Here is a 27,158-nt window from a genome sequence, read left to right on the forward strand (position 1 = left end):
TAATTTTAGTTTCCAGGCTCTCTGGACAATTTCAAGGCCTCCTGGACATCAGACAAATTATTGTTAAAATAATGAATGAGATGCCTGTAATCCCAGCACTTTGGGAGACTGAGGTGGGCAGATCACTTGAGGTCAGGAGTTCGAGACCAGCCTGGCCAACATGGCGAAATCCTGTCTCTACTAAAATTACAAAAATTATCCAGGAGTGGTGGCACATGCCTATAGTCCCAGCTACTTGGGAGGCTGAGGCAGGAGAATTGCTTGAACCCGGGAAGCGGAGGTTGCAGTGAGCCAAGATTGCACCATTGCACTCCAGCAGACTCTGTCTCAAAAAAAAAAAAAAAAAAAGAAAAGAAAAAGAATGAGGACCAGTATAGCTCTTAGTTTAGGGTCTTTATTTTTATTGGTGCTTCTGCCCTGGATTGTTTTTTGAGGGAAGAAAGAAAGGGTTGCGTGATTCTTTGTACATAGTGAAAACCTAGATCAGTTTTTACTTTAGGGCTATGGATAGTGGGAGTTGGGAGGGCAAGCAATAGTCTCAAAAATGTTCAAGGAATTAAAACACAAAAACGGAAAATTGCAAGTGTTGACAAGGTTGTGGAAACTTGGAACCCTCAAACATTGGTGATGGGAATGTAAAATGATTCATTCAGCTGCTGTGGAAAACTTTTTGGCAGTTCCTGGAAAAGTTAAACATAGAATTACCCTATGACCCAGAAAGTCCACTCCTAGGTATGTATCCAAAAGAACTGGGAACAGGTACTCAAATATGTGTACAGGCATGTTCAGAGCAGCACTATTCACAATAGCCAAAAGGTGGAAGTAACCCAAATATCTATCAAGGGATGAATGAATAAACAAATTATAATATACACATACAATGGGATATTAATCAGCCATAAAAAGGAATGAAGTACTGATCCACGCCTCAACATGGATGAATCTTAAATACAGGCTAAGTCAAAGAAACGACACAAAAGGCCGCATATTGTATGGTTGCATTTATATGAAATACCCAGAAAAAAGTAAACTCACAGAGATAGAAAATAGCTGAGTCGTTGCCAGGGTCTGGAGGAAGGAGGGACTGGGGAATTACTGCTTAATGGAGTATGGATGTTTCAGAACTAGATAGAAGTGGTTGCTCAACATTATGAATGTAATAAATGCCACCAAATCGTTCGCTTTTAAGTGGTTTATGTTATGCGAATTTCACCTCAAAAAAAAAAAAAGTTAAAAAGCCTTCTCTGCCTTTCTCTGGGGTTGGAGTCTTCCCAATGGATCCAGGGCAAAAGAAACATCCAGCCACTCTGTTTGCGGGAGGAGCAAAGGGTGGCTTGTCCCGACAGTTTGAGCTGTTGTGCATGCATTTACACACGCATTAATTCCAAATGAGTCAGCACAGTGTCCGAGACAGGTCCTGGGCTCCAGTGAGCACAGTCGCTCTCCTGGGGGAGGCACGTTCCACAAATTAACAGAAGTTCTGATAAACTCAGCATAGGGGGATTCGCTGTCCCAAGTATCAAGGAGTCCTAAAAGAAAAGGGCCTATTTCAGTCGGGGGACCTGGACTGAACTAACTCGTGTTCATGGCCGCCAAATCCCGTGTGACAAATGTATTCTTTTGTTGTTCATAGAAATAAAACAGTTTTTCGGGCCGCTTCAGGAGCTCCTCTGCAAAGGTGGGGAAAAAAGGCAACTAAATCAGCACGAGGACGTCAGCCCGAGGATGTCAGGAGCGGGGTCGGTGCGGACGGGCAGGTGGGCGGGGGGGCACCCCGCGCCCCGCCCCAGTCCCCTGGAGGCCGGCGGCCGCAGCTCGGGGAAGTGGGGACTGGCGCGGGGCCGCGCTCCCGCCCTCCTCGGCGGCGCCGACGGACCGGCAGGCGGCGGGCGGTCCGCGAGGGGGCGGCGGCGTCCGGGCTTTGTGGCCGCGGCGCGCGCGGCGGGGCCTGGCCGGCCGGGGGCGCGCCGCCGCCGCCGCCGCCGCCCGGCGTTCGGGAGCCCGCGGCCCTCCCGGCCGCCCTGCTTGCGAGAGGAGCCCAGGCCGCCCGCCCTCGCGCCTCGCCGGCCCCTCCCCCGGTCGCCGCGGCTGCCGCGCCGCCGCTGCAGGTAGGAGGCTCCCCTTCCGGGCGGGCCGCAGCCGGGCGGGGGCGGGGGTGGGGGGCGCGGGCCGGGCGTAGAGGGGGCCGGGGGCCGGCATGGAGGGTTTTCGGGCCGAGCCGCTGCGACCCCGGCCTTGCAGGCTGGGCGCCGGGCGGCCGCCTCTGCGCGCCGCGATGGGACTCGGTGAGTAGGGCCGGCCTGCTGCCTACAAAGCCCCGGGGCGCGGGCCTCTGGGGTACTCAGTGGCGCGCCCACGGCTGGGAGCGGGGTGGGCTTTGGACTCCCGGGCTCGGGGAGCTGCTCGGGGGGAATCCAGGTGACCTGCAGTACCGCGGTCTTCCCATCCCGGCGTCCCCACTGTGTGCTGATCACTGTGCTCGGCGCTTTTCCATACTTGTCTCCTTTAAGACCTCCAGTGCCCCGCCCGTCCAGAGTGTAACGGGAGGGATCCCTCACTTGCAGGATGAAGGCCGAGCATCACATCCTTGCTTGACTGACCTTGGGAAAGCTCCTTTACTCCGAGCCGGGGCTACTGTTTCTGTAAATTAGAGGCGGGGGTCGGGGGGGCGTGGTATAATATCTACCCTCAGGTACTATTGTGAAAGATAATGTATGTAAATGATAACAGCTAAATTTTGAGCACTCTGTATGTACCAGGCCCTAGGTACTAAACAGTTGGCATGAATTATCATTGAATCATCACCCTGGCGCTGTGAGGTAGTTACTGTAAATTGCATGAATAATCTTTATTTAGGAGTACGAAACAGTGAAGAATTTAGTCTCCCTATTCCGATTCAGGAGGTTGGGTATTTCTTAGGCGTGATAACATTTAACATTACAGACGTTCCTGCAGTATCGAGGAGAGTAGTTATAGGATGCAGGGATATATTTGTCATACATTTAAAACTGGAGGTAGGATAATATCAGGGCCAGAGAGTGTGCCTTTCAGCATGTCAGAGCAGATGATTGTATTCCAAGGAAATTGCTGAATATTAATTAAAAAACATAGTTTCTGAGTTAGGATTGAGGATGGCTGTGGGAGTCCAGGGCCAGAGAGAGACATGGGATGGACAAGGGGGAGAAGAAGGATTCTGAAGTCCTGGAGGAAGATGTAGAGGAAGGCACCAGGGTTCACCATCCCTCCCCTGCAGCATTGCTGGGCCAGATTTCATCCCTCCCGTAGAGACCCGGGCTAGGGGACAAAGGCTGCTGGGGCAGGGGGTGGGGAGGGATGTTATAGGTTGTCTCTTTTTACTCCCAGGCCGCCAAAAATATTCAGATTGATGGAGGGTCAGGTGATTGGGCCTCCTAAAATGCCATTATCCCTTCTCACAAAATTCTTGTGTTTCAGGGCATGGGGATGCTTGCCAGCCCTAATGGTTGATGAGATGCTTAAAATACAAAGGTCTCACTGATATAATGGAAGAGTGCATTTTCAACACCATTCACTGGGTTAGAGAAGTAATGGGCCTGAGGAGATTATTTTGGGTTTAGAATGGGGAGAACTAAAAAGGCTTTGGATCCTGAAGAAGGAAGAGAGGCAGGAAGGGCCCAGGCACTGCACCTGTGGGGAAAGGCAGGAGAAGAAGGAGCTGAGGACTTCACCCCACCATCTGCAGAATACCCAACAGGCTGTTCAGTTCTCAGCTACCAAGGGGGCACCCTTTCCTCTCCCAGTTGGTGATGATTTGTTAACGTATTGTGGAAGATCAAGGGCTGGACTCAGGCACTCCTGTCCTGAGTGAGTAGGAAAGACGTCTGGGAGAAGGGTGGTTTATTTTGTTTTTAACCAGGCATTGAAGCAGAGAGTAGGTGGGTACGTAGCGATGGTGAAGGTAGGGAACATCATGCATACTTGGAAGAGCAATTGCTTTGGAGAGATAGACAGTTTGGGGTTTGAATCCTAGCTCTGCCATTTCTTAGCTTTGTACATTTTTTGTGAGGATAAAATAATGTTTTTTCACATATCTGGCGTGCAGTTCAACAAGCACTAGTACCGTATTCCCTGTCCGTGATAACATTCATTCAACAAATGTCTGCTGAGCACCAGTCATGTGCTGAGTCATATGTTACATCCTGGGGATACAGCGATGAGTCAGAAATTATGTATTCCCCTAGGAATTTCCCAGTCCAGTGTGGGAGATGGACGCAAAGAGCAAATTGCAAAAAATATGGGAAGTGCTACAGTACAGTCATGTACAACTGTCAGTGAGCTCATAGAAGAGTAACTCATTCTGAGCCAGTGGGAACTCAGGGCCAATCTATATCTAACAAGGTGAGTATGAGACCTTATGACACAGGTTTTTGTTTTTTGTTTTTGTTTTTTTTTTGGGGGGGGACAGTCTCGCTCTGTTGCCCAGGCTGGAGTGCAGTGGCATGATCTCGGCTCACTGCAGTCTCCACCTCTTGGGTTCAAGCGATTCTCTTGTCTCAGCCTCCCAAGTAGCTGAGATTACAGGCACCTACCACCACGCCCAGCTAATTTTTGTAGTTTTAGTAGAGGTGGGGTTTCACCATGTTGGCCAGGCTGGTCTCAAACTCCTGACCTCAGGTGATCTGCCCACCTTGGCCTCCCAAGGTATTGGGATTATAGGCGTGAGCCACCGTGCCCAGCTATGACACAGGTTTTGAATGCTCCTTTACCACCTAACTTTGATCTCTTTTACCTTTGTCTTATCTTTGCCCTGCTAGTCTCTCCTCTCTCTCTCAAAAAAAAAAAAAAAAAAATCTAGTTGCAGTGTGTGTGTAATTTGTAAGCTGCTTCAAACCCATTTTAGAAGGAAGCCGTTATAAAGAAAATAAACATAACAGACTGGGTATTAATTGAGGAAGGCTTAACAAAAATTGCATGAGAGTTGGGCTTTGAAGATTGAAAATGGGCCGGGCGCGGTGGCTCACGCTTGTAATGCCAGCACTTTGGGAGTGAGACTCTGTGTCAAAAAAAAAAAAAAAAAAGAGAGATTGAAAATGGGCCCTTGGTGGCCTTGGGGTAAAGGATTCCAGCCAAAGGAAGCCGCGTGTTGAGTTTGGTCTGGTTAGGTTGAAAATACATGGAGAGAATGAGGGGCTGGTGGGGGTGCTATAATCAGGACCAGATCCGGAAAGGCCATGAATGCCATGTGAAGAGTTGGGACTTTTATCGTTTAGGCAGTGGGAGAGACGTCTGAGGTTTACAAGGAGGCCTGTGGCTTGATCACTGTGTTTTAGGAAGATCCCTGTAGTTGTGTGGAAGAGGGTATGGAAGTTTGGGAGACCATTTTAGAGATTAGCTCTGTCCACAGACATGGGCAGTGAGAATGGGAGAGGAGGGAACAGATGTTTGGGTAAAATGTACCATAGGTCTTGTTAATTAGTTGCATGTGATTGAAGATTACATTTCTGCTTTGGGAAGCCAAGTTGATGTGGCTGACATCATCAGAAATCAGGAGATTTTGGTGTATGGGGAATAATTAGTTTGGTTTTGGCTATGGAGAGTTGGAGTTTTCTGAGGTACCCATAGTGGGGCACAGAGGTGGCTGATAGATAATTGGAAATGTGTTTGATGCTAAGGAGAGAGGTTGAGGCTTGGAAGAGAGGTTCTTCCATCACTGCCACTTTATTCTTTTTCTTTTTTTCTTTTTTTTTTTGTTTTTGAGATGGAGTTTTGCTCTTGTTGCCCAGGCTGGAGTGCAACGGCGCAATCTCGGCTCACCGCAACTTCCACCTCCCGGGTTCAAGCAATTCTCCTGCCTCAGCCTCCTGAATAGCTGGGATTACAGGCATGCACCATGATACCTGGCTAATTTTGTATTTTTAGTAGAGACGGGGTTTTTCCATGTTGGTCAGGCTGGTCTCGAACTCCCGACCTCAGGTGCTCCTCCCACCTCGGCCTCCCAAAGTGCTGGGATTACAGGCGTGAGCCACCATGCCTAGCCTTTTTTTTTTTTTTTTTTTAAAGAGACAGCGTTTTACTCTTTCACCTAGGTTGGAGTGCAGTGGTGCAATCATTGTTCACTGCAACCTCAGATTCCTGGGCTCAGGTGGTCCTCCCACTTCAGCCTCCCAAGTAGCTGGGATTACAGATGCTCATGCCTGGCTAATTTTTTAATTTTTATTTTTAGAGATGGAGTATCACTGTGTTGCCCAGGCTGGTCTCAAACTTCTGGCATCAAGCAGTACTCCCCCACTGCCTTCCAAAGTGCTGGGATTACAGGTGTGAGCCACTGTGCCTGCGTCCCCACTCCCAACTTTTTTTTTAAAACAAACACTTACTGTGAATCTACTATGTGCTGAAGATAGATATAAAATGTAGTTCCATGCCTCGGAGCTCACCGTCAGATAGGGAGAGCCTTCAGGATATGGATAGATCTCAGTGCAGAGTAATTCTGAGTGCTGCAAGAGGTAAATACTTGGTACCCTTGTCCTAGAGAAGATTTGAGAGCCGATGGTTGTAGCTGAGGTGGTGGGAGTGGAGGAGAGTGTATTCAGTAGACGAGAAGGAGGCTGGAGTGGGAACACCTACAGAAGGGGACCTTCTGTTTTTCAACACTGCTTTCTGTGGAAGATACCTTAATAATGATTCCAAAGGCATTTCAGGGAAGCCGTGGGTGGGGATGGTTTAAGATGGAGTGTGGGGAAGGGGAAGGACGGGGTTAGGACTTTAAGAACTCTCATCTGGTTTATAGAGGGGACTGTGAGGATGGGAAAGTGGGGGAGACCTGGCTTTCAACACAAGGCTGGTTCTGCATGCACACAGTCACACTCAGGCGCAGATGATGAAAATAAACACTTCCAAGTTACATGGCTGCCTGGAGTGGGTGGAAAAGTGGTAGAGAGGGAATGCATTAGAGAAAGCAAGTTCGGTGCTAGGCTTGACTGGAAAGCTCTCGAAAAGGAAAGAAAGAAGGTAGAGAGGCAGAGAGAGCTTGGGTGAGTGGCCATCCTGGGCACACAGGTATGTACATGTGCAGGCAGGTAAGAGTACTGTCCAATTACTCTCACCTCTGGATAAAATGAAATCCTGAAGGCATCATAGTGGTTGTGAGGCTCTTAAAACATTGCCATTTCTACCTTCTTTGAACTGTAATGATGTTTGCAAGAAGGAAACGATTATATTATGATAAATCCTTTGTAAGAGGAGAAATTTAAAATAATAAAACATCTAGCAATAATCAGTTAAAAAATGCAAATGGCAAGCAGGTTGGTTATGGCAGGTAATTCCACAAATATTTATTGAGTGCTTGATGTACACCAGGCACTCTTCAAGGAGCCATAGTGAACAGATCAGATCACCTGCTTTTGCCATTTCACCTGGAACTGCTTAACTTGCACAGTTAAACCTGTTTAAAGGCCTTAAGCAAAATAACAAGGTCATCTAAAGTGCTGAGATCACTTCATTCTGCTGTAATGCTCTCTTTCATTGGCCAGTAGCTCCACCAGTCTCATAAATAATCAGAAAATACCAACTATGTGTCTTTGGCAGTGAACTGTGGAAATTAGATTGCAGAAAAACCATTTTAATGGCAGTGCTAACATGGATGACCAGTACTGGATAGGACTTTAGAGAATACCCCCTTGAGCTTTATAATTTAGAGACGAGGAATTGACAGCAAGTAAAGAAGACGTGCCAAGACAAATGTCACAAAATGAATGACAGAGTTGAGAGCAGTGCCCTGGAGTTTTCAAATGGTACAGTCGGGGAGGCTTGAGAGTACCTAGCAAAAAGGGCATCTTGATGGTGAGGGGGTTCTGAAGTGGGAGAGGGGTTGGAAAGCAAATGATGAAGCCTTGATTTCAGACTCTTCTCTGTTACTAGGGCCTTGGGAAGCCCTGTTTTGCTCTGAGCCTCAGTTTCCTCAACTGTAAAGTAAGAGGATTAGATTGAGGTCCTTCTTTAAATTTATTTATATTTTTTCTTTTTCTAAAGCTCCACTCTCAGAAGCAGTGGTAGGGTTGGGCTTTGAGGCCATGGGTCCAAGCCCATGTCCTTAACCTCTATATTATACTACCTTTTTTTTCTTGGAGACAGGGTCTTGCTCTGTCACCCTGGCTGGCATGCAGTGGCATGATCATATCTCACTGCAACCTCAACCTCCTGGGCTCAAGGGATTCTCCTGTCTTAGCCACCCTAGTAGCTGGGGCTATAGGCACATGCCACCTTGCCTGGCTAGTACTTTTAATTTTAATTTTTATAGCAATGGAGTTCTCCCATTGTTGCCTAGGCTGGTCTTGAACCCCTGGGCTCAAGCAATCCTCCTGCCTTAGGCCCAAAGTTCTGTGATTACAGATGGTGATCACCACACCTGGCCAAGGTCCTTTGTAGTTTAAAACAAAGGTTATTTTTGAGATGTTGAGTCAGGAGACAGGCAAGATACTAGGGTAGGAGACAGCCTTTCTTTAGAGCAAACGGATTGCCCATTACTTTCCAGGCCTTGCTTGTAGGGAGGGCTGCCACGTGTCCTTCAGTTCACCCACCACTTCTGAATATGTTAAGTCTTTACCTCCCGAGTTGTGGCCCTGCTTTGTCCTCAAGCTAATCTAATTTCAGTCTATTCAAGTAGGAGTTAAGGTTCCTGTTCTAGATCCCCCCAGTTTTGGAGTATGTCCCTAGGCTCATCTCTGTCACTGTGCTTATCACACTGTCTCGTCACCAGCCTATCCCACAATACATGTGCATTATGTCTTCATGGGACTCTGATGTCCTCATAGGTCTGTGATCTCCTTGATCTTAAGGAATACCATTCTCTCTGATGCCTGCACAAAGTAGGTGTTTGGTTAATCCTCATATATCCTACCTGCCTCTGCTTTCTGTTGATCCCCTACCCTACTGTGGACACATATACATCCTGCTCATTTCTTCCTTTGAAACAGTCTTTGGCTGGGTGTGGTGGCTCACACCTGTAATCCTAATCCCAACACTGGGAGGCTGAGGCAGGCTGATCACCTGAGGTCAGGAGTTTGAGATCAGCCTGGCCAACATAGAGTGAAACCCCATCTTTTCTAAAAGTACAAAAATCAGCTGAGTGTGGTGATGGGTGCCTGTAATCCTAGCTACTTGGGAAGCTGAAGCAGGAGTATTGTTTGAACCCAGGAGGCGGAGGTTGCAGTGAGCCGAGATCACGCCACTCTACTCCAGCCTGGGCGACAGAGCTAGACTCTGTCTCTCAAAAAAGAAAGAAACAGTCTTTGGTGTATACTTCCTCCTTTCCAATAACATTGTCCCCACTCAGAGTCCAGGCCTTCTCTTATCAATTATTTATCTGATGATCTTCTTCAACTCTCTCCATTCATATCCTATACATTCTTAAAGATCTAGCTCAAATGTCCTCTTGTTCATGAAGAATGCAAGTGAACCTCTTCCCTCTTCTTCATGCTCAAGGTGCTTTGTCCTCTCTTCTGGTGTCTGTTTCAGCGTGCCTCTCATTTTAGTTGTCAGTTTGTGCATGTCAGCGCTCTTTCTAGGCTGGAGGGTTCAGCCTGTCCTTGTATCTCCCACATACTCTAGAACAGTGCTGAGCCTTTGGCAGGAGTTCATTACATATTTGTTGAATTGTGTGTGTATGAAATAAAGAGCCAATAACTTGTTATATATACACACACACCATACACACACACACACACACACGTGCGCACACACACAGTATTATTCTACTTTTGGAAGCAGTTTAATATGGGTGGGAAGAGTAGAAAGAACTAAAATTGATTGAAGCTGTAGTCTGTGTTTCTTTATTCACGTTGCAGGACTTTTGCGCAGAGGGAATGAGGCAGGGCCGGGATAGCGGGGGAGTAACTCCATTTCACAGATGAAGCATTAGAGGTTGATTGACTTGCCCAAAGTCACACGGTTGGGTGAGGGGTAAAGTCAGGATTTGAGCCCGGGTTTTCTGCATCCAGTGTCTTGGTTCATTTCACCTCACTTTAAGATCAGCAGTCTATTAATGTCCTGAAGTCTGATTTTCCAGTGCCATAGCTCTTCAGTCATGGTACCCATTCTGAGTATTAACTTCAAAGAACTCCCCTTTCCACAAAGAGCAAGAGATGTGAAATCTTGACAAGTTTCTCTGTCTTTGCTCAAACTTTAGGACTTAGTTTCACCCTTGGTGGACTTAAAAATCACTAGATGGTATATTAGTCTTCTCAGGCTACCATAATAAAATACCACAGATTGTGTGGTTGAAACAACAGAAATTGGATTCTTGCAGTTCTAGAGGCTGAGAAGGCCAAGATCAAGGTGTTGGCAAGTTAGATTTCATCCTGAGATCTCTTCTGTTGGCTTGTAGGTGGTGGCCATCTTGCTGTGTGCCATCTTGCTGTGTTCTTACATGACCTCCTCTTTGTAAGCCATTGAGGGTAGCAGGGCACGCCAGCTTCCTGGTGTCTCTACTTATCAAGGCACTAACCCCACTGGACCAGGGCCCCATACTTATGTCCTTATTTAACCTTAATTGCTTCCTCAGATGCCCAGTCCCCAAATACAACCACTAGGGAATTAGGGCTTCAACATATGGATCTTGGGAGGACACAGACATTTAGTCCATAAACAGATGAATTTTTGTTTTAAGTTGGATAGTAAATGTATGCATTACAGTATTCTGGTGGTTTAGTCAATGTTAGTGTTTTGGAAATTGTGCTAATTGTTTCCTTCTTGTTCTTCTATGGGTGTTGGAATTGTGCCTTTTAATTTAGGCCTATCTATGGGTCTTTGCCTAGCCCAAGGGGAACTTCTGTTGCATCTGGATTTTGCTATTTTATTTGACCATTTCTACTTTAATGCAGCTTTTTTTCATTAAGAGATGGGGTCTCACTGTGTTGTCCAGGCTGAAGTGGGGTGACTGTTCACAGGCACAATCATAGCTCACTGTAGCCTCTAACTCCTTGGCCCAAGTGATCACCCTGCCTCAGCCTCCCAAGGAGCTGGGACTACAGGCACACCACCATACCCAGCTAATGCAGCCTTTAGTGTACTGTTTTGTCATGTATGATGCTGTGTGCATGGTGGGCTGTTTTATGCCTATATCAAAATATCTGCATTTATGAAATGTTTACTGAGCGCCTACTTTGTGAGGGTCACTGGGCTGCTTGTTGCCCTACAACCATGCATAAGAATGGATCATATACTGTCTAGCAGAACAGCAGACACAAGAGATAATGGCTCCTGAGCAGAATTGGGGACAGGGAAGTCCAGTCTATCCCTAATAAAAGTTGATGCGGCAGGGAACGCTTTTTATGTTGTCATTTATAAACAATTATGGACAATTGATGAATAGTTTTAAACAAGAGTATCCTTTCTAGCCTCAAAGTTTCTATTAATAAGCATTAATAAGCTTTGCTGGAGAGACCTCTTTGGGAAGTATTTGTTTTTGTGCTCAAGCGGAATGCCAGCATTCCCCGGAGGCATGGACCATGTTAAAGCTCCAAAAGATCTCCACAGTTACCTTTCAAACATACAGTCTTTTTGAGACAGAGTCTCACTCTGTTGCCCAGGCTGGAGTGCAATGGCTCGACTTTGGCTCACTGCAACCTCCGCCTCCCAGGTTCAAATGATTCTCCTGCCTCAGCCTCCTGAGTAGCTGGGATTACAGGCACCTGCTACCACGCCTGGCTAATTTTTTTATTTTTAGTAGAGATGGGGTTTCGCCTTATTGGCCAGGCTGGTCTTGAACTCCTGACCTCAGGTGATCCACCTGCCTCGGCCTCCCAAAGTGCTGGGATTACAGGTGTGAACCACCATGCCTGGCCCAAACATACAGTCTTACTGGATCAAGGGCGGAAATTATTTCAGAGCTCTGGTTAGAGTGAGGAAGGTACACGTGGGAGGATTATGGGCCCTAAGTTTGAAATCGAGAGGAGGTGATGGAGGGAGGGAAATGAGTGGGGGAAGAGCCAACAGATGGAGACACACTCCACCTAAATTGCCCTACCCTGGGCCCTTTCCCGGCTGATGATTAGAGTGTTAATGCCCATACTTTGAGGAGGGGAATAGAGGCTATCACTAGGTCTGAAACAAGAGAGCTAAGCAGAGCAGAGAGGAGCATGAGCATTGGAGTAAGTCAGACCACTTACTATTTTGTGACCAGAGTAAGTTACTGAGCCACAGTTTTCTTATCTGGGAAATGGGAATGGTAATTGGTTAAGGGAGATAAACAGCCTATTTCACAAGGCTGTTGAAAATCCATAAGGAACCTTTGGGGTACATTGCCTTGTATCAGAATCCCTTTATAGCCAGGCAGAATGCAACCGCAAGGCCCAGTGAGGCCTGCTGTTCTACAAAATTAAGCAAAGTAAATTGGTAACTTTGGATTTACTTAGCTAGTGATTAAATAACAGTTTAGTTAATAGGCTATTAATGGTCCCCAGGTGTTGGTAATTCTGAGCATTTGCTTTTAAGAGCAGTCGTATAATTTCTTCTGGTACTTTATATATGTAAATTTATATATACATGCATATGTATATGTATTTTTAACAGAAAACATTGAAGTATAACAAACTGTGCTCTCAGAGGCTATTTTTGGGAGGGTTAAATGATATTGTGCATATTAAACATTTGTTACGCCTACAGTAAGGGCTCAATACAAGTTATCTGCTATTATATTATTGCTATCATTATTATTACTCTGAGACTCAACTGGCCACATGTAGGGCAAGAACCTTTGTGAAATTTAGACTCCCCACAAGTCCACCACCACCTAGTGGCAGCTAGAGGTACTGCACACATCTTGAGGAAGAATTACATTGCTTGGAATTAATTCCATGTAATTTCAGTCCCACCAAGGATCACAGGACCTTTGTTCAGAGTGTGGCTTACTTACCTCAGAGCTGAAATTCATATATCATTAATCAATGAAGTGACATTTTTTACTTCCACAGTTGGCACAGAATAAAAAAACAAAATAGGGAGATGGACATGCTCATGTGCTGTTAATAGAAATGTAATTGGTGCAACATTTTACAAGGACAAGTTGGGGATATAACATAAGTCTTAAGTGTTTTTATCTTTTGGTGGAGAAGTCCTAGGAATTTATCTTGAAGAACTAAAATAGAAAAAAGAGATTTATTTAGAAAGTGTGTGTGTGTGTGTGTACACACACATATAATGTATATGTAAAAGAGCATTACATATAACAACAAAATGGGGAGTAATCCTTTTTTCATTTGTGAATCAGAGTTCTTAATCCTTACAGCAGCAATTCTTAGAAGTGGGGAAAGTTGGCATATTGACATCTGGAGCAGAGACATTGAGGTTAGGGAATTGGATCAGAATCTGCTGTGTAAGCTGTGTAATTTAAGAACAGGCAGTGTACCTATTGATTTCCTAACAAAAACTACAGAAAGTTAAGCTGGACATAGACATCTTGGCAGATAGAGATAATACAGAAGAGAGATATTGTACAGGGTGTATGTTAATAAATTTCAGTTTGGGGAACATTGATTCATAGGGAATAAAAGTATGGGTGAAGGTAAAAAATTAATTTGGGACCTTTGAGGAAGAAGGAGCCTGGATTGGGTATCATTGTATGGATATTAGAGCAACATGATCAAAACAGAAGCATGGGAATTTAGCATTATAGGGACACATCCCCAAAGATAAATGTCCGCTCATTTAGCTTTGCTCAGGATCTGAGGGCCAAACCACCTTTGACATGTGTCCGAACCTCCCAGTGTCTGATACCTGATGTGTCCAGTATGAATGTAGAGCAGGGTACCTGGTATTTGGAGATACGGATTACCCTCGTACTTCATTCTATTAATAACAACTTTTAGGATGAGGCAGTGCGTAGTGAGAGACCGTGATCAGGTTCTGTCACCCTCATGTAAAGACCACACTCCTTGGCGTCAATTTGAAGGGTCTCTGATCTGGCCCAGTCCTCTCCAGCCTCAGTCAAACAGATTTCAGCCATTCACAACTACAGAAACCCCTTCCCAGGCATAGTGCGTGAGTAGCCGGCTTGAAATAGTGTGATTCAAAATTAGTGTACTGTAAACTTAAAAGTCACAGCCTCCCCTGCTTAATTTTTTATTATGGAATTTTAAAACATAACAAAGGTTGAGAAAATAATGAATCCTTGTGTACATATGACCTTTGATTTCAAATTATTCCATTTTTGGCTTGTGGGGCTCTTTTCAAGTTGGTTCCTAATTTTTTTTTTTTTAATTTTTTTTTCGAGACAGAGTCTTGCTCTGTCATCCAGGCTGGAGTGCAGTGGCGCGATCTCAGCTCACTGCAAGCTCCGCCCCCCGGGGTCAAGCAATTCTCCTGCCTCAGCCTCCCGAATAGCTGGGACTACAGGCGTCTGCCACCACTCCCAGCTAATTTTTTTTTTTTTTTTGTAATTTTAGTAGAGACGGGGTTTCACTGTGTTAGCCAGGATGGTCTCCATCTCCTGACCTCGTGATCCGCCCGCCTCAGCCTCCCAAAGTCCTGGGATTACAGGTGTGAGCCATTACGCCTGCCCAGTTCCTAATTTTTTGACATGATTGGTCAGTTTTAAATGGACTGCCTCATCAGTATCTTGATGCATGCCTGTTACTCTGAGAAATCAGAGGCTTGGAGAATGTAAGAAGGACTGGGAATACGTAGGCCCTTCCCAACTAGGGGAACGATAATGCTTACTTTATTGCCGCAGTCAGTGTTGCTTAGCTACATTTTTGCCGTAACATATTTGAGAGGTTAATTTTATAGGAAGCTTTCTGTGATTGAAAGATATGGGAATAGCGTGCAGTCCTAAAACACACATAGGTTTCATACACTTCACTGGAAGAAGACATTCACTAAGCACCTGTTGTGTGAAACATGCTGACCCGGCACTGTAGAGGATGACAAAGTGACTTATGGGAATCATGGTTGAATCATTTGGAGTGACCCAAGGCAAGAGGCCGAGAAACAGCTGTGGAATGATTCTAAGAATACCAGACTCCTAGGGCAGTCCAAGCTCTGGACTTTCTATGTCACCATCTTTGTGATCTTGTGCAATCCACTTCACCTTTCTGACCCTTTCTTCTCTCAGCTGGAAAGAGACTTGAGGAATGTAAAGAGGGACACTGGACTCAGTCTCTTAAGTGCCTAGGCCCTTTCACATCTGAAATTACATACATTGTTTACTTAGGATTTTAAAAAACAGCCCGCATACCTGAAGGATCACAGACTCCAACCCCTCATTTTAAAGATGAAAAAACTGAGGTTGCCATTGCTCCAGGTACATGCCACAGAGTGATGAAAACGTCAAATTTTTTTTTTTTTTTTTTTGAGACAGTGTCTCCTTTGTCATCCAGGCTGGAGTGCGGTGGTGCAAACATGGCTCACTGTAGCCTCGACCTCCTGGGCTCAAGCAGTCCTCCTACCTCAGCCTCCCAAGTAGCTGGGATTACAGGTGCATGCCACCACACCTGGCTATTTTTTTTTCTTCTTTTTCTTCCCTTTTTTTTTTTTTTTTTTTTTTTTTTTAGAGACAGGGTTTTGCCTTGTTGCCCATGCTAGTCTCGAACTCCTGGGCTCAAGCAATTTACCTACCTCAGCCTCCCAAAGTGCTGGGATTACAGGTGTGAGCCACTGTGCCCGGCTGTACATCTTTTTTTTTTTTTTTTTTTTTTGAGATGGAGTCTCACTCTGTCACCCAGGCTGGATTGCAGTGGCACGATCTTGGCTCACTGCAACCTCCACCTCCCGGGTTCAAGTAGTTCTCCTGCCTCAGCCTCCTGACTAGCTGGGATTACAGGCGCACGCCACCACGCCCAGCTAATTTTTGTATTTTTAGTAGAGATGGGGTTTCACCATGCTGGTCAGGCTGGTCTGGAACTCCTGACCTCGTGGTCCGCCTGCCTCAGCCTCCCACATCATATTTTATATTTGAGTACACGGTGGCTTCTTTTGTCCTCAGCTGTGACAAAAGTTTTGGAAAGCTGTTTAGTTCTAAAACTGGCTAACATGATTTGGGGGAATAATCAGTTCCCTAATATTAAAGAAAAATCAATTAACAAATCAGAGTCTAGGCCGGGCGTGGTGGCTCACGCCTGTAATCCCAGCACTTTGGGAGGCCGAGGCAGGCAGATCACTTGAGGTCAGTAGTTCGAGACCAGCCTGCCCAACATGGTGAAACCCTGTCTCTACCAAAACTACAAAAAAAAAATTAGCCGGGCGTGGTGACAGGCACCTGTAATCCCAGCTACTCAGGAGGCTGAGGCAGGAGAATTGCCTGAACCCGGGAGGTGGAGGTTGCAGTGAGCTCAGGTCGTGCCACTGCACTCCAGCCTGGGTGACAAGAGCGAGACTCCGTTTCAAAAAAAAAATGTTCAACTTTTCTTTTTTTGCTGTTATATACCAGATAGTCACAGTATAGCCACAACAATCCACTTTGAAATAAAACCCCATTCCTAGTACATTTCTAAATATTCTCCAGAGTCCTGAATATCATAATTCAACCTTAATGGAAAAGAAAGTACTGTATTTCAGACAAGGGAATCAAGTCAGGAATTAAGCTTCAGTGATTTATAGGCATTGTTTTTGCTGGAGTTGGTAATCATTGCTTCAAACTTCCTTTTACAGGATAGCTAGCGGCCAGGAGAAATACAGTGGAAAATGCAAAACAACGAAATTATAAAGCCTGCCAAATACTTCTCAGAATTGGAAAAGAGCATCCTGCTGGCTTTAGTAGAAAAGTATAAATATGTGCTGGAATGTAAGAAAAGTGATGCGCGAACTATTGCCCTTAAGCAGCGTACCTGGCAGGCGCTGGCCCACGAATACAACTCTCAGCCCAGCGTGTCCCTGCGGGATTTCAAACAGCTGAAGAAGTGCTGGGAGAACATCAAGGCTCGGACCAAAAAAATTATGGCCCATGAAAGGAGAGAGAAAGTGAAACGGAGCGTCAGCCCTCTCCTGAGTACCCACGTCCTAGGGAAGGAGAAGATCGCCAGCATGCTGCCGGAGCAGCTCTACTTCCTGCAGAGCCCCCCGGAGGAGGAGCCCGAATACCACCCCGACGCCTCAGCCCAAGGTATCCGTTCCTGATGCCAGTGTGCACGCTCTCACTGGGTATCTGTTTGACATTTTAATTTTAAAACCCTCCACTTTGAGGGAACTTCTAAAAATGAAACTTTTGTATCAAATCCAATTTTCCTAATTCAAGATCTCAGGATTATATAGGACATTCAAAGTCTTATAGAAGTGGGCGTGGTGGCTCGTGCCTGTAATCCCAGCACTTTGGGATGCTGAGGCGGGAGGATGGCTTGAGCTCAGGAATTTGAGACCACCCTGGGCAACAAAGTGAGACCCCTGTTTCTACAAAAAATAGAAAAAATTAGCTGGGCATGGTAGCATGCACCTGTAGTTCCAGCTACTCGGGAGGCTGAGGCTGGAGGATAACTTGAGCCCAGGAGGTGGAAGCTGCAGTGAGCTGTTATTGCGCCACTGCACTCCAGCCTGGGTGACGGAGTGAGACCCTGTCTCAAAAAAAAAAAAAAAAAAAAAGTAATATATAAAAACAAAAGTACTTGTTTACATCATTGTGCTAGCTCTCTTGGAGACTTTATTATTACTTAAACATAAAGAAAAATAAGGGACTGGATTAATGGAGTTCTTATTAGTGAGGTGCTGCAGTTGCCTATCAGCCTGTCTCAAATATGTTAAAGAGAATTGTATGAAGATTTGTATTCATCCACTCAATTTCACTTTTTTCAAAAAATATTTTTGGAGGTCCTTATTATTTGCAAAGCATTGCAGTAGGCCACTCAAAAGGCCATATTAAAAGAGTCAACCGGCTGGGTTCTGTGGCTCATGCCTGTAATCCCAGCACTTTGGGAGGCTGAGGTGGGCGGATCACCCGAGGTTGGGAGTTTGAGACCAGCCTGACCAACATGGAGAAACCCCGTCTCTACTAAAAATACAAAATTAGCCGGGCGTGGTGGTGCATGCCTGTAATCCCAGCTACTTGGGAGGCTGAGGCAGGAGAATCGCTTGAATTCGGGAGGCAGAGGTTGTGGTGAGCCAAGATAGCACCACTGCACGCCAGCGTAGGCAACAAGAGCAAAACTCCATCTCAAAAAAAAAAAAAAGAACTATTTCAAACTTTAAAAAAAGTGCAAAGAATAATATGATAAACGCCTGTTTTAGCATTCACCCAGATTAAAAACCAGCATTTTTTGCCATTATACTATTGTGATCCACAGTTTTGGTTTGTGGCACCCCAGGGATCTTGAAAAGCTCCAAAAGAAATTAACTTTAAGTTTAATATACTTCCATTAAAAAGAGAAAAATATGTCATACATAATTCTTGGGGAAAAAAACACTGTCATATAATGAAGGATGCAATGATAGTGTGTCATAGCTTCAAAAGGTTGGAATTTAGGGGCTATTGAAATGTCTCTAGGCAAGGGGAGGGTGGAAATGCACATAGATAAATTTCCAGAAATTCCTGCTTCTTTTCAGACAGGAAGTGGCCAGTTTATATAAAAATTAATTGCAGTTTGCAGAAGACAGACATTGAAGCAGAGGATGTTTCCTGGTGGGGGACAGAGGGTTGTTCATAAGGTGCTTCAAGGACCCAGCAAGCACTTCCCCAGGAAAATCTGGTTCTCAGCTTGCAGAATGGGAAATTCAATTGTCAGTGCCTCCAGAGTAGACTGAGCTCTGAGGGACTGGCTCCTGTTAATTAAAAGTAACAAGAAGCAGTCTAAAGCCAGGAATGTTGTCTGTGTAGAGTGGAAAAGATAATTGCCAAGTGAATCAAATACATGTTTTTGATTAGCACCTTTTTTTCTGTCCTGTAGGCAGACGATCCTGGAGAAGCAAATTATGATCAAAAGTTTGCTTACTGATCATTTGACCAAGGTTAAGTCCAGGAAGCCAGTTGCGTAACCATAGTGGTTTATGTTATGAACCTCATGCATCGATTTCCAGTGTGGGAACCTCATACATCGATTTCCAGTGTGGGAATGTTGTGTCTGAGTTTTGATCCCTGAGTTCCCAAGCCAGGGTACCTCCTAGCAGACAGTTTATGGGGGCTCTGTCAGCTCTCTCTCTTATCACTCCTCATTGCTGCTTCTGTAGTGCATGGGCCCCCACAGCTAATTAATGGTGTCCTTGTTTTGGAGATGTTTATAGCTTTAGCCAGTTACTCTGTTCCTCTCCATCTTGCTGGCTTCAGAGCCATTCAGCTTCTGTGAGGTTGTGGAGGAGTGTGCTGGGGGAGGGAAGGAATGGATCAGCAGGGCTGCTCTTTACATTGCTTATGTTCCCTGGGAGATATTGCTGAGGACCATGCTGGTGTGAGCTGCCTTCTGTTCATTTTGCAAACCTGTGATCTAGATTATTGTGTATTGAATACATAGGGTTATTCTTAGGGGGCCTGGACAGTCTTGTTTCCCCATTTTCAAATTCTGGGGTGGGATCTAGGGAAGTTCATCCCACAGAGTTTTTTCTCTTTCTCTTTGGAAGAAATGATGTAATTCATTTACTCATAAACGTAATTTATAAATTTTCAGCAAGAAGGGAATAAAGGTACATTCTCAGTGTTTTTCTTATAGTAACATTTAATAGTGACTCAAGTATAAACGGATTTATTTTAAATTGGATGTTTGTACATAGATGACACTGGGGACTTCCCTTTTTGCTGGTGATTATTAAAGCATAGCCAAATGCTCCTTGCTCCTGTGTCCAGGTCCCATCTGGAGGGTGGTGGAGAACCTTGGTGCTTTGTCATTTGGGAAGTGTGTCCAAAGGTAATCTGTTAATACTAGTAGGTAGGGTACTGGTACTCTTTCTATACAGTAAAACAACTTTGAGTTCATTTCACTCATTTTGCATTTCAGTTTTCTTTCAAGAAAGAAAAAGAAGCCTGGAATTGTCAATCATCCTTTCTGGGACTTGGTAGGAAAAAGGTGGAAAATCTGCTATAGAGTTATGGCCCTCATTACATCTTGTGTATTTGACATAAGGAATGTGTGTGTGTGATCTTTCTATTTCTAACACTGTGCTGTCTAATACAGTTGTCACAAGCCACATGAGGCTCATAGGCACTTGAAATGTGGGTAGACCACATTAGGATGTGCTATAATTGTGCACACCACATTTTGAAGACTTAGTACCTAAAAATGTAAAAAAACTCATTAAATAATTTTTATATTGTTACATGTTGAAACAATAATATTTTAGATATGTTGGATTAAAAAATATATTACCAAAATAAAATTTCACCTTTTTTTATTTTTCTAATGTTGCTCTGAGGATATTTAAAATTATATAAATAGCTTATATTGTATTTCTGTTGGACAATACTGTTCCAACACCTTACAGGGTACCTGTTACAGAATTAGGTACTCAGAAATTTATTGGAATTTATGATAAAACTGTTAAACAGGATGGACTCTAATAGTATTCCACTAGAGGCCTCCCTGCAACTACTTTTTGGTATGAGATAGTTTCAACTGTGTCATCTTGATCACTGTCCCTTGGATATACTTAGCTTTGTCAACAACTTTCTGAAAATGTCCATCTGCATTCGAACACACTAGTCTTAAAATTTAAGTATAACACTTAGGAATATATTGATATTTGCCAAAAAACCCCAGTATTTCCTCCTTAAATATATTAAAACAATTTACACCCTGCAGATTTTATGATGTGTGATAATTTGGCTTTGACACTTATCTTCCATTATTTTGAGGGCAACTGTGTACAGAACCAACTAAGGGAGCCAATAAAATTCGCTAGGAGTGGCTGGGAGGCTAGGATGACCAAAGGTCAAATACATTTAAGAAAACTAAGCTTTAGTGTAGCACCTAGATGTCTTAGGATAATTTATATTTAATTTCACATTCTATGCTCTAAAGTGATACTTGATAACTGTGAACATTTCTTAATAAATGCCATTATTATTACTGTTCAATCCTAATCTTTGGGGGTGAGATCTCTGGTACCAGAGGGCTGAGTTACACTTCCAGTCATGGCACCCCAGCCTCACTGGTCTGTGAAAAGCCTTTCTTTTGTTAGTTACGTGTTTGTTCTATTTTTATTCCATTCTTTCATTCTCTTCTCCTGCATCTGAATCATTCTAACGCGCTTGCATATCCTTTTACATGTGTTTTGTGTGCATCTATTTTAAATTTATGTAGATTTAAATTTGTGCTAGGGATACCATTTTCTCTCTTTTTTCACTTAGAATACTGTTTTTAAGATCAATTCCTAGGCCGGGCACAGTGGTTCACACCTGTAATCCTAGCACTTTGGGAGGCCAAGGCAGACCGATCACCTGAGGTCAGGAGTTCAAGACCATCCTGGCCAACATGGCAAAACTCCTATCTTTACTAAAACTACAAAAATTAGCTGGGCCTGGTGGCGCACACCTGTAATCCCAGCTACTTGGGAGGCTGAGACGGGAGAATTGCTTGAACCCTGGAGGCGGAGATTGCAGTGAGCCAATATTGCACCACTGCACTCCAGACTGGGTGACAGAGCCAGACTTCGTCTAAAAAAAAAAAAAAAGATCAATTCCCACTGCAGTGTGTAAGTCTAGTTTCTTTCTTTTAATGTGTTATATATACTCCATAGCATGCATCCACACATCTTATTTATCCCCTTTCCCAGTCAGCCCTATTTCCTGTATCTGGGGTTTGGCCTGTTTACAGTTTCCTTCCCATCCTTTTGCTGTCATAGTAGGCTTTTCCTGCTGATATTAAACTTACTCCAGTTGTCCAAGTGAAAGAAAAGCCCCTTGGCTTTCCTGGTCCCAGGAAAGCTGTTGGGATTTCCTACCCTTTTTGCATAAGATTGAGTTGTTTTCTCCTTCAGGTGGCTTTGTTTTTACCTCTGAGAGAGATTACATGGTGTGTATTTGCAGCACAGTGCCATTCCTAGGCTAGTCTTTTTCCAATTAAGACAAGATTCTTCCCATCTGAACAGTAGTTTCTATTCATTGGAGCTAATATGTGTGTGAAAGTTAATTAACTATACCATTGAGCCTCTCTAGTTTAAAGCCCTGTTTTCTGCCAGAGTCTTCTTAAGAGGCCTGGCTTTTTTTTTCCTTTAAAATTTGGATGTTAGCACACATTTAAACTAAAAAGAGTAGTTTTAAAGAAGAGTCATTTTTCTGCTCCCGGACACAAACATACTGTCTTTTTATGTTCACAGCTCTAGAAATTTAGAGATCAAAATGCAGGATACACGCCCATATTCTTAATAAGAGATGGTTTTTTAGTGGATACAATTTGGAGGCTACATTTTAAGATATGCAAGTGATCAGCTGAGCAAGTGGAAGAGTGGGAGGCTGATTATTGTAGTGGTTGAGTTTGGATTTTGGAGTCATACAGACTTAGAATCCTGGTTCTTTCAACTAGTCATGTGACCTTGGATATTGTATTTGGTTTTCTATAATAATACCTCCCTCATAGGGTAAGGATTAGATGAGGTAATGCTATAAAGCACTAGCCTAGGACCTAGTTAGCTGCTCAAAAAACAGTAGGTGCTATCATCATCATTGTCATCACCATATCATCATCAGGTCTCTAAAGCCTGGAATTGTTGAGATGAAAGTGAGCCTTTAGAAATTGGAAGAGGCCGGTGCAGTGGCTCATGCCTGTAATCCCAGTATTCTGGGAGGCCAAGGCGGGCCGATTGCTTGAACTCAGGAGTTTGAGACCAGCCTGGGCAACATGGTGAAACCCCGTCTCTACCAAAAATACAAAAAATTAATCAGGCTTGGTGGTGTATGCCTGTAGTCCCAGCTAGTTGGAGGCTGAAGTGGGAGGGTCACTTGAATCTGGGAGCCAGAGATGGCAGTGAGCTGAGATCACGCCACTGCCCTCCAGCCTGGGTGACAGAATGAGACCCCATCTCAAAAAAAAAAAAAAAAAAAAAAAAGAAGAAGAAGAAATTAAAGAAATTGGGCGAGACAGCAGCATTGTGAGGGGATGAACTTTAAGGACTCAGAGGAGTATCCAGAACTATCCCCTGGAATGAAATCAAAGAGAAAAGAGACTAGAAGTACCACAAAATGTCTAATGTGTCCAGTCTTCAAAGAAGACATTTTCAGATCCAAAACTAGAAAGGAAACAGGTGAGGTAATGCTCTTTGCAGTTGAAACTCACACCTGAGGGCCCTGTTCTCAGTGTTAACCCTCTCCCATTCCTTTGTCCTGTGCCTTGGTTACCCACACAGAGCACTGTTCCTTCTCCATGGTTGGGCGTGTTGGGAGGGATGTGACCCACTGCACGTAATTCACCCCATACACATTTCTTACATGCCCAGCACTATACCAGGCCCTGTGCTGGGTTCTCCATGAGGATGAGCAGAAGCAATCTCTGTCTTCAGAGTACTTAGAGACTTGAAAGGGAGGTAAACTGCCAGTTTTAACAAGTGTTCTGCCAGAGGTAGGCCCAGGAGGCAGTGGGAGCATGAAGGAAGAGCTGTCTTTGAGGCCAGAGCTGTCTCCAGGAAAGATTTCCAAGAGACATTTTCATTATTTCTGGATGGCACCGAAGTACTTTTTCTTTTTTTTTAAACTTCTCTTCCAGAAGTAAGATTTTTACCTTTTCTTTAATCGTAATTAGGGACTAGTTATGATTGTTACTTTACCTCTTGGAGTGGAATAATTAAACAGTAGCCATTTTCCTTTTATTAACAGGGTATTATGAGTTAGGTTTCCCCCAGTACCCATGAACATTCCCAGCATCTCATCTTCCAGAATAACGGAGTGGACGTAATAATGTAATCAACTATGTTAATAAATTGGCATTGTTTTTCTCCAAGGAGAAGATGCTCGTTATTGGAAATGTAAAGCTTCTCAAGAAAGCCTTAGAGTCACAGCTACAAGACTCCATGGGTTAGTGGAGTTAGTGGTTTCCTTATTGCAACTCCCTAATTGACACTGATGTTACTGCTCTAATAAAAAAAGCAGGGCAAACATAGCACCTACCAAACGTGGTATCCTTTTGCATCCATATACTCTTCCCTTTATATTCAAGGGTTCAGCCAATAAACATTTACTAGGCATCCATTGTGTACCAAACAAAGTAATTAGTGCCCAAGGATTAAAAAAAGAGAATGTCATGGTGCCAAAACAATACTAGTGTGTGTTAAGTGCTGTAACAGAAGAGTACATATAAAGGAGAGACCTGAGGTTTCACAGAGCAAGCGGCATTGGTTTTGAATGAGTAGGAGTTGGGGTGAGGTTAAAAAAGCGAGACTACAGTAAGTGGAGGGACAGATAGCCTAACTTTAAGCAGAGGGAACAGTGAAACAGAATTATGAAAAAAAGCATGACCTTATAAAGGATGTGAGTAGCTTGTGGTAGGACTGAAGGGTGAACAGGGCATTTGGAAGAGTCAGACAAGAAAGAAAGGAAGGTCAGAATCAGGTTATGAGTTTACTTAGGGCAGATAAGAACAGAGCCACAGATGGGAATCCCCAGGAGAATATGAAAAGGTAACAGGTGAGTAGAGCAAGAGTCTCTGTAAATCAAGAAGACTTGAGAAGGAGCAATCAGAGGGGAAGGCAGCTTAGAAATTAGGAGAGTCATGGTTCAGAAGCTAATGGAGGAAAGAAATTTCAAGGATAGTCAAGTACCAGGGACAGGTTAAATAAGAGGGACATTGAAAACTCCCCAAATGGCAGTGCTGGAGAGTAAAGAGAAAACGTATGTGAGGGAGTTAAGCCAGGGAATGTAGACTCATCTTTCAAGGAACAGCATTTACAAGATGGCTCTCCAGGGTAAGGGCTAACACCTGTGACCAGGAAACAGCAATAGCACTCTTGCAAAGATTACATATACGTGTTCATAGCTGAATGAGAAGTTGGCAAAGCATGATCAGACTGATAGAGAACTTAATTTGAAGATCCACACTGGCCTTGCATTGTGGTCCTACGCTCATCAGAGTTGGGCATATTTCAGTTTAGAATATCAACATAAAAAGGTCTCTGATTCTTGATAAAAATGGTTTCTGACCACGGATCCCATACTTTGAAGTTCTAGAAATAACCTAACAAAACCCCTTATCATTATTTCTTAAGAAAAAATTGCTTTTGATTTGTGGGTTTTTAAAAAGTCAGGTGTGGCTAGGGTCCCTGTAGACATGAAGACCAAAGCAGACATGATTTTAGATACATCCTGTAATGAAGGACCCTGTCATTTGAAATAGGATTGGTTTTTTTTTTTCTCTGCCTGTAAAATCTTTGAACATATGTTTTCTGCTACTGTTTTTCAGAATCATTTGCTGTTTCAAATAGAGAACTGTGCGATGATGAGAAAGAGTTCATACATTTTCCAGTATGTGAGGGGACCTCTCAACCTGAACCCTCGTGTTCAGCTGTCAGAATAACAGCCAATAAAAACTACAGGAGCAAAACCTCTCAGGAAGGTGCTTTAAAAAAGATGCATGAGGAAGAACACCATCAACAAATGTCCATCTTACAACTGCAACTGATACAAATGAATGAGGTGCATGTGGCCAAAATCCAGCAGATAGAGCGAGAGTGTGAGATGGCAGAGGAGGAACACAGGATAAAAATGGAAGTTCTCAATAAAAAGAAGATGTATTGGGAAAGAAAACTACAAACTTTTACCAAGGAATGGCCTGTTTCCTCATTTAACCGGCCCTTTCCCAATTCGCCCTAAGACTTTGGGGGTGGCTCTCTTGTAATTAATCTGTGTTGGCAAAGAATGTCTGGAACATGGACTTGGCGGTCAGTAACCTGTAACAGAGCTACAACTAGGAAAATTAGAGTGGTAGTAGTCACTTATTTAAGAATTCATTCAGGTAAACAGCTGCACCCTCTGTACCCCTTAAGTGGCAAAGAAGCTGTTATAGTCTTCTGAAAATTATCACTATGAGTGCTATAATTCTGAATATAATGTCTCTTAATTAGAATTCATACAAGAACCACGTGTGAGTGTTGTTGTTGTTGTTTTTTTTTTTAATCAAATGCAAGTGTGACTATAAAGGAGTGTGGCTGATTTTTTTTTTTTTCTTTTTTCTTTTTAAACAGACAGCAGAACTTTTCTATCCAAATGAATGCCGTCCCATGGAAAGTGGCTGTCCTGGGAGGCTACACGTTTCTCCAATGGTGATGCTGTTGCTCAGAACTTGCTAGAGGTCTTTAGGGAACCTCCGTGAGAGCTGCAGCACCTTTTTAATTTTCTCGGTGTCATCCTCTGAGTATGGATTTTCTGTTTTTAAACAGCCCAAAGTTTAGAAGGGTATTTTCTAATGTGGCTCATAAACCACCTTTTAAGGCCTTTCCTCAAACAGGAGTTCTAAATAAGTCTCCAACAATAGTAGTTTTGTTGGAGCTAAGGATGTAACTACTTTGAGGAAGAAATGTTCGTTTAGATTTCTACATTCTGTTATGTTGGTTTTATTAAAAAAAAAAAAAAGACTTGCAATTTTATAGTCACACTGTGTATGTTTTTTAAAGGTGCTGCCTTCCCAGCTGTGCTCCAGTTTTTCTCTTCTCTCTCTAGTTTCCTCCCAGCTTTGTACTACTGAGTTGATAGTTGCCCTTGCTTTTAGTCTTTAGCTACCAAAGGAAAGGCCCTTCCCTCACCATGCTCATGGTGCTAGCCAGTAGTAATGCTTTGTAGCTGGCATTACATAATTAGCATTGGGCCTTTTGAGGATCCATTACCAACATATTCGGAAATATGGATTGATAAATGGATATTTTGACTGAGCTGCAGTATAGCTTCTCCTGTAGCCTCTTGTTAAAAACAGCCCCGGGTGTTGGGGACAGCAGTAGCTGGAAGCAGCAAAGTGACACTTAAGTGCCAAGGCAGATCAGCAGTTTCTGACAGTGAGAGTTCAAGGCCATGTGGTGGGGAAGGAGGAGTATATGTGGCAGAGTCCACATAAGTGGTATAGGCCTTGGAGTCAGGGCCTGAATTCTAAGCTCAACTCTCCGTCAAGTTGCCGTATGAATGTGGGTAACTCCTTTTAACCCTTGGTGTAGTGTTTCCTGTCCACAGAACAAGGGAGTTGGGCTAGATGACGTTCCAAGTCTGTTACAACTTCTTGGCTATGGTGTGGTCTGTATAGTCTTTTTTTTTTTTTTTTGAGACGGAGTATCACTCTGTCGCCTAGGCTGGAGTACAGTGG

General features: G+C 43.9%; 2 protein-coding genes across 5 annotated transcripts in view, besides 3 other annotated features; both read left to right on the forward strand.

The window, feature by feature from the left end:
• Positions 1,695-1,924: a silencer, noted in NCBI's record as "silent region_20135". NCBI's record gives its function as "represses an Ori minimal core promoter by ATAC-STARR-seq in GM12878 lymphoblastoid cells {active_cell/tissue: GM12878}" and the evidence as "EXISTENCE:reporter gene assay evidence [ECO:0000049][PMID:35858748]".
• On the forward strand, positions 1,858-26,449 carry MSANTD3 (Myb/SANT DNA binding domain containing 3). 4 transcript variants are annotated; one of them, NM_001198807.2, is made up of 4 exons: positions 1,858-2,108; positions 16,621-17,071; positions 19,884-19,952; positions 25,272-26,449. In NM_001198807.2, the coding sequence occupies exons 2-3, from the start codon at positions 16,654-16,656 to the stop codon at positions 19,943-19,945; spliced, it is 480 nt and encodes a 159-aa protein (NP_001185736.1). In that variant the 5' UTR covers positions 1,858-2,108; positions 16,621-16,653; the 3' UTR covers positions 19,946-19,952; positions 25,272-26,449. The 4 variants fall into 4 exon arrangements, with proteins under 4 accessions (NP_001185736.1, NP_542386.1, NP_001185734.1 ...); NM_080655.3 differs by lacking the exon at positions 19,884-19,952; NM_001198805.2 differs by lacking the exons at positions 1,858-2,108; positions 19,884-19,952 and adding an exon at positions 2,144-2,285.
• Positions 1,965-2,194: a silencer, noted in NCBI's record as "silent region_20136". NCBI's record gives its function as "represses an Ori minimal core promoter by ATAC-STARR-seq in GM12878 lymphoblastoid cells {active_cell/tissue: GM12878}" and the evidence as "EXISTENCE:reporter gene assay evidence [ECO:0000049][PMID:35858748]".
• Positions 2,235-2,354: a silencer, noted in NCBI's record as "silent region_20137". NCBI's record gives its function as "represses an Ori minimal core promoter by ATAC-STARR-seq in GM12878 lymphoblastoid cells {active_cell/tissue: GM12878}" and the evidence as "EXISTENCE:reporter gene assay evidence [ECO:0000049][PMID:35858748]".
• Positions 16,621-27,158, forward strand: part of MSANTD3-TMEFF1 (MSANTD3-TMEFF1 readthrough) — a 135,731-nt gene continuing 125,193 nt past the window's right edge. The window contains exon 1 of the mRNA NM_001198812.1: positions 16,621-17,071. Coding sequence (NP_001185741.1) covers positions 16,654-17,071 — 418 coding nt within the window. The 5' untranslated portion in view covers positions 16,621-16,653. The remainder of the gene's footprint in view (positions 17,072-27,158) is intronic.

This window comes from Homo sapiens, chromosome 9 (assembly GCF_000001405.40).
Source record: "Homo sapiens chromosome 9, GRCh38.p14 Primary Assembly".
NCBI classification, from domain to species: Eukaryota; Metazoa; Chordata; class Mammalia; order Primates; family Hominidae; genus Homo; species Homo sapiens.

Coding starts and splice junctions, on each gene's coding strand:
- MSANTD3 (NM_080655.3), top strand. CDS start 16,654: ATGCAAAACAACGAAATTATAAAGCCTGCCAAATACTTCTCAGAATTG. Junction 17,072..25,271: donor CCCCGACGCCTCAGCCCAAG/GTATCCGTTCCT, acceptor ACTGTTTTTCAG/AATCATTTGCTGTTTCAAAT.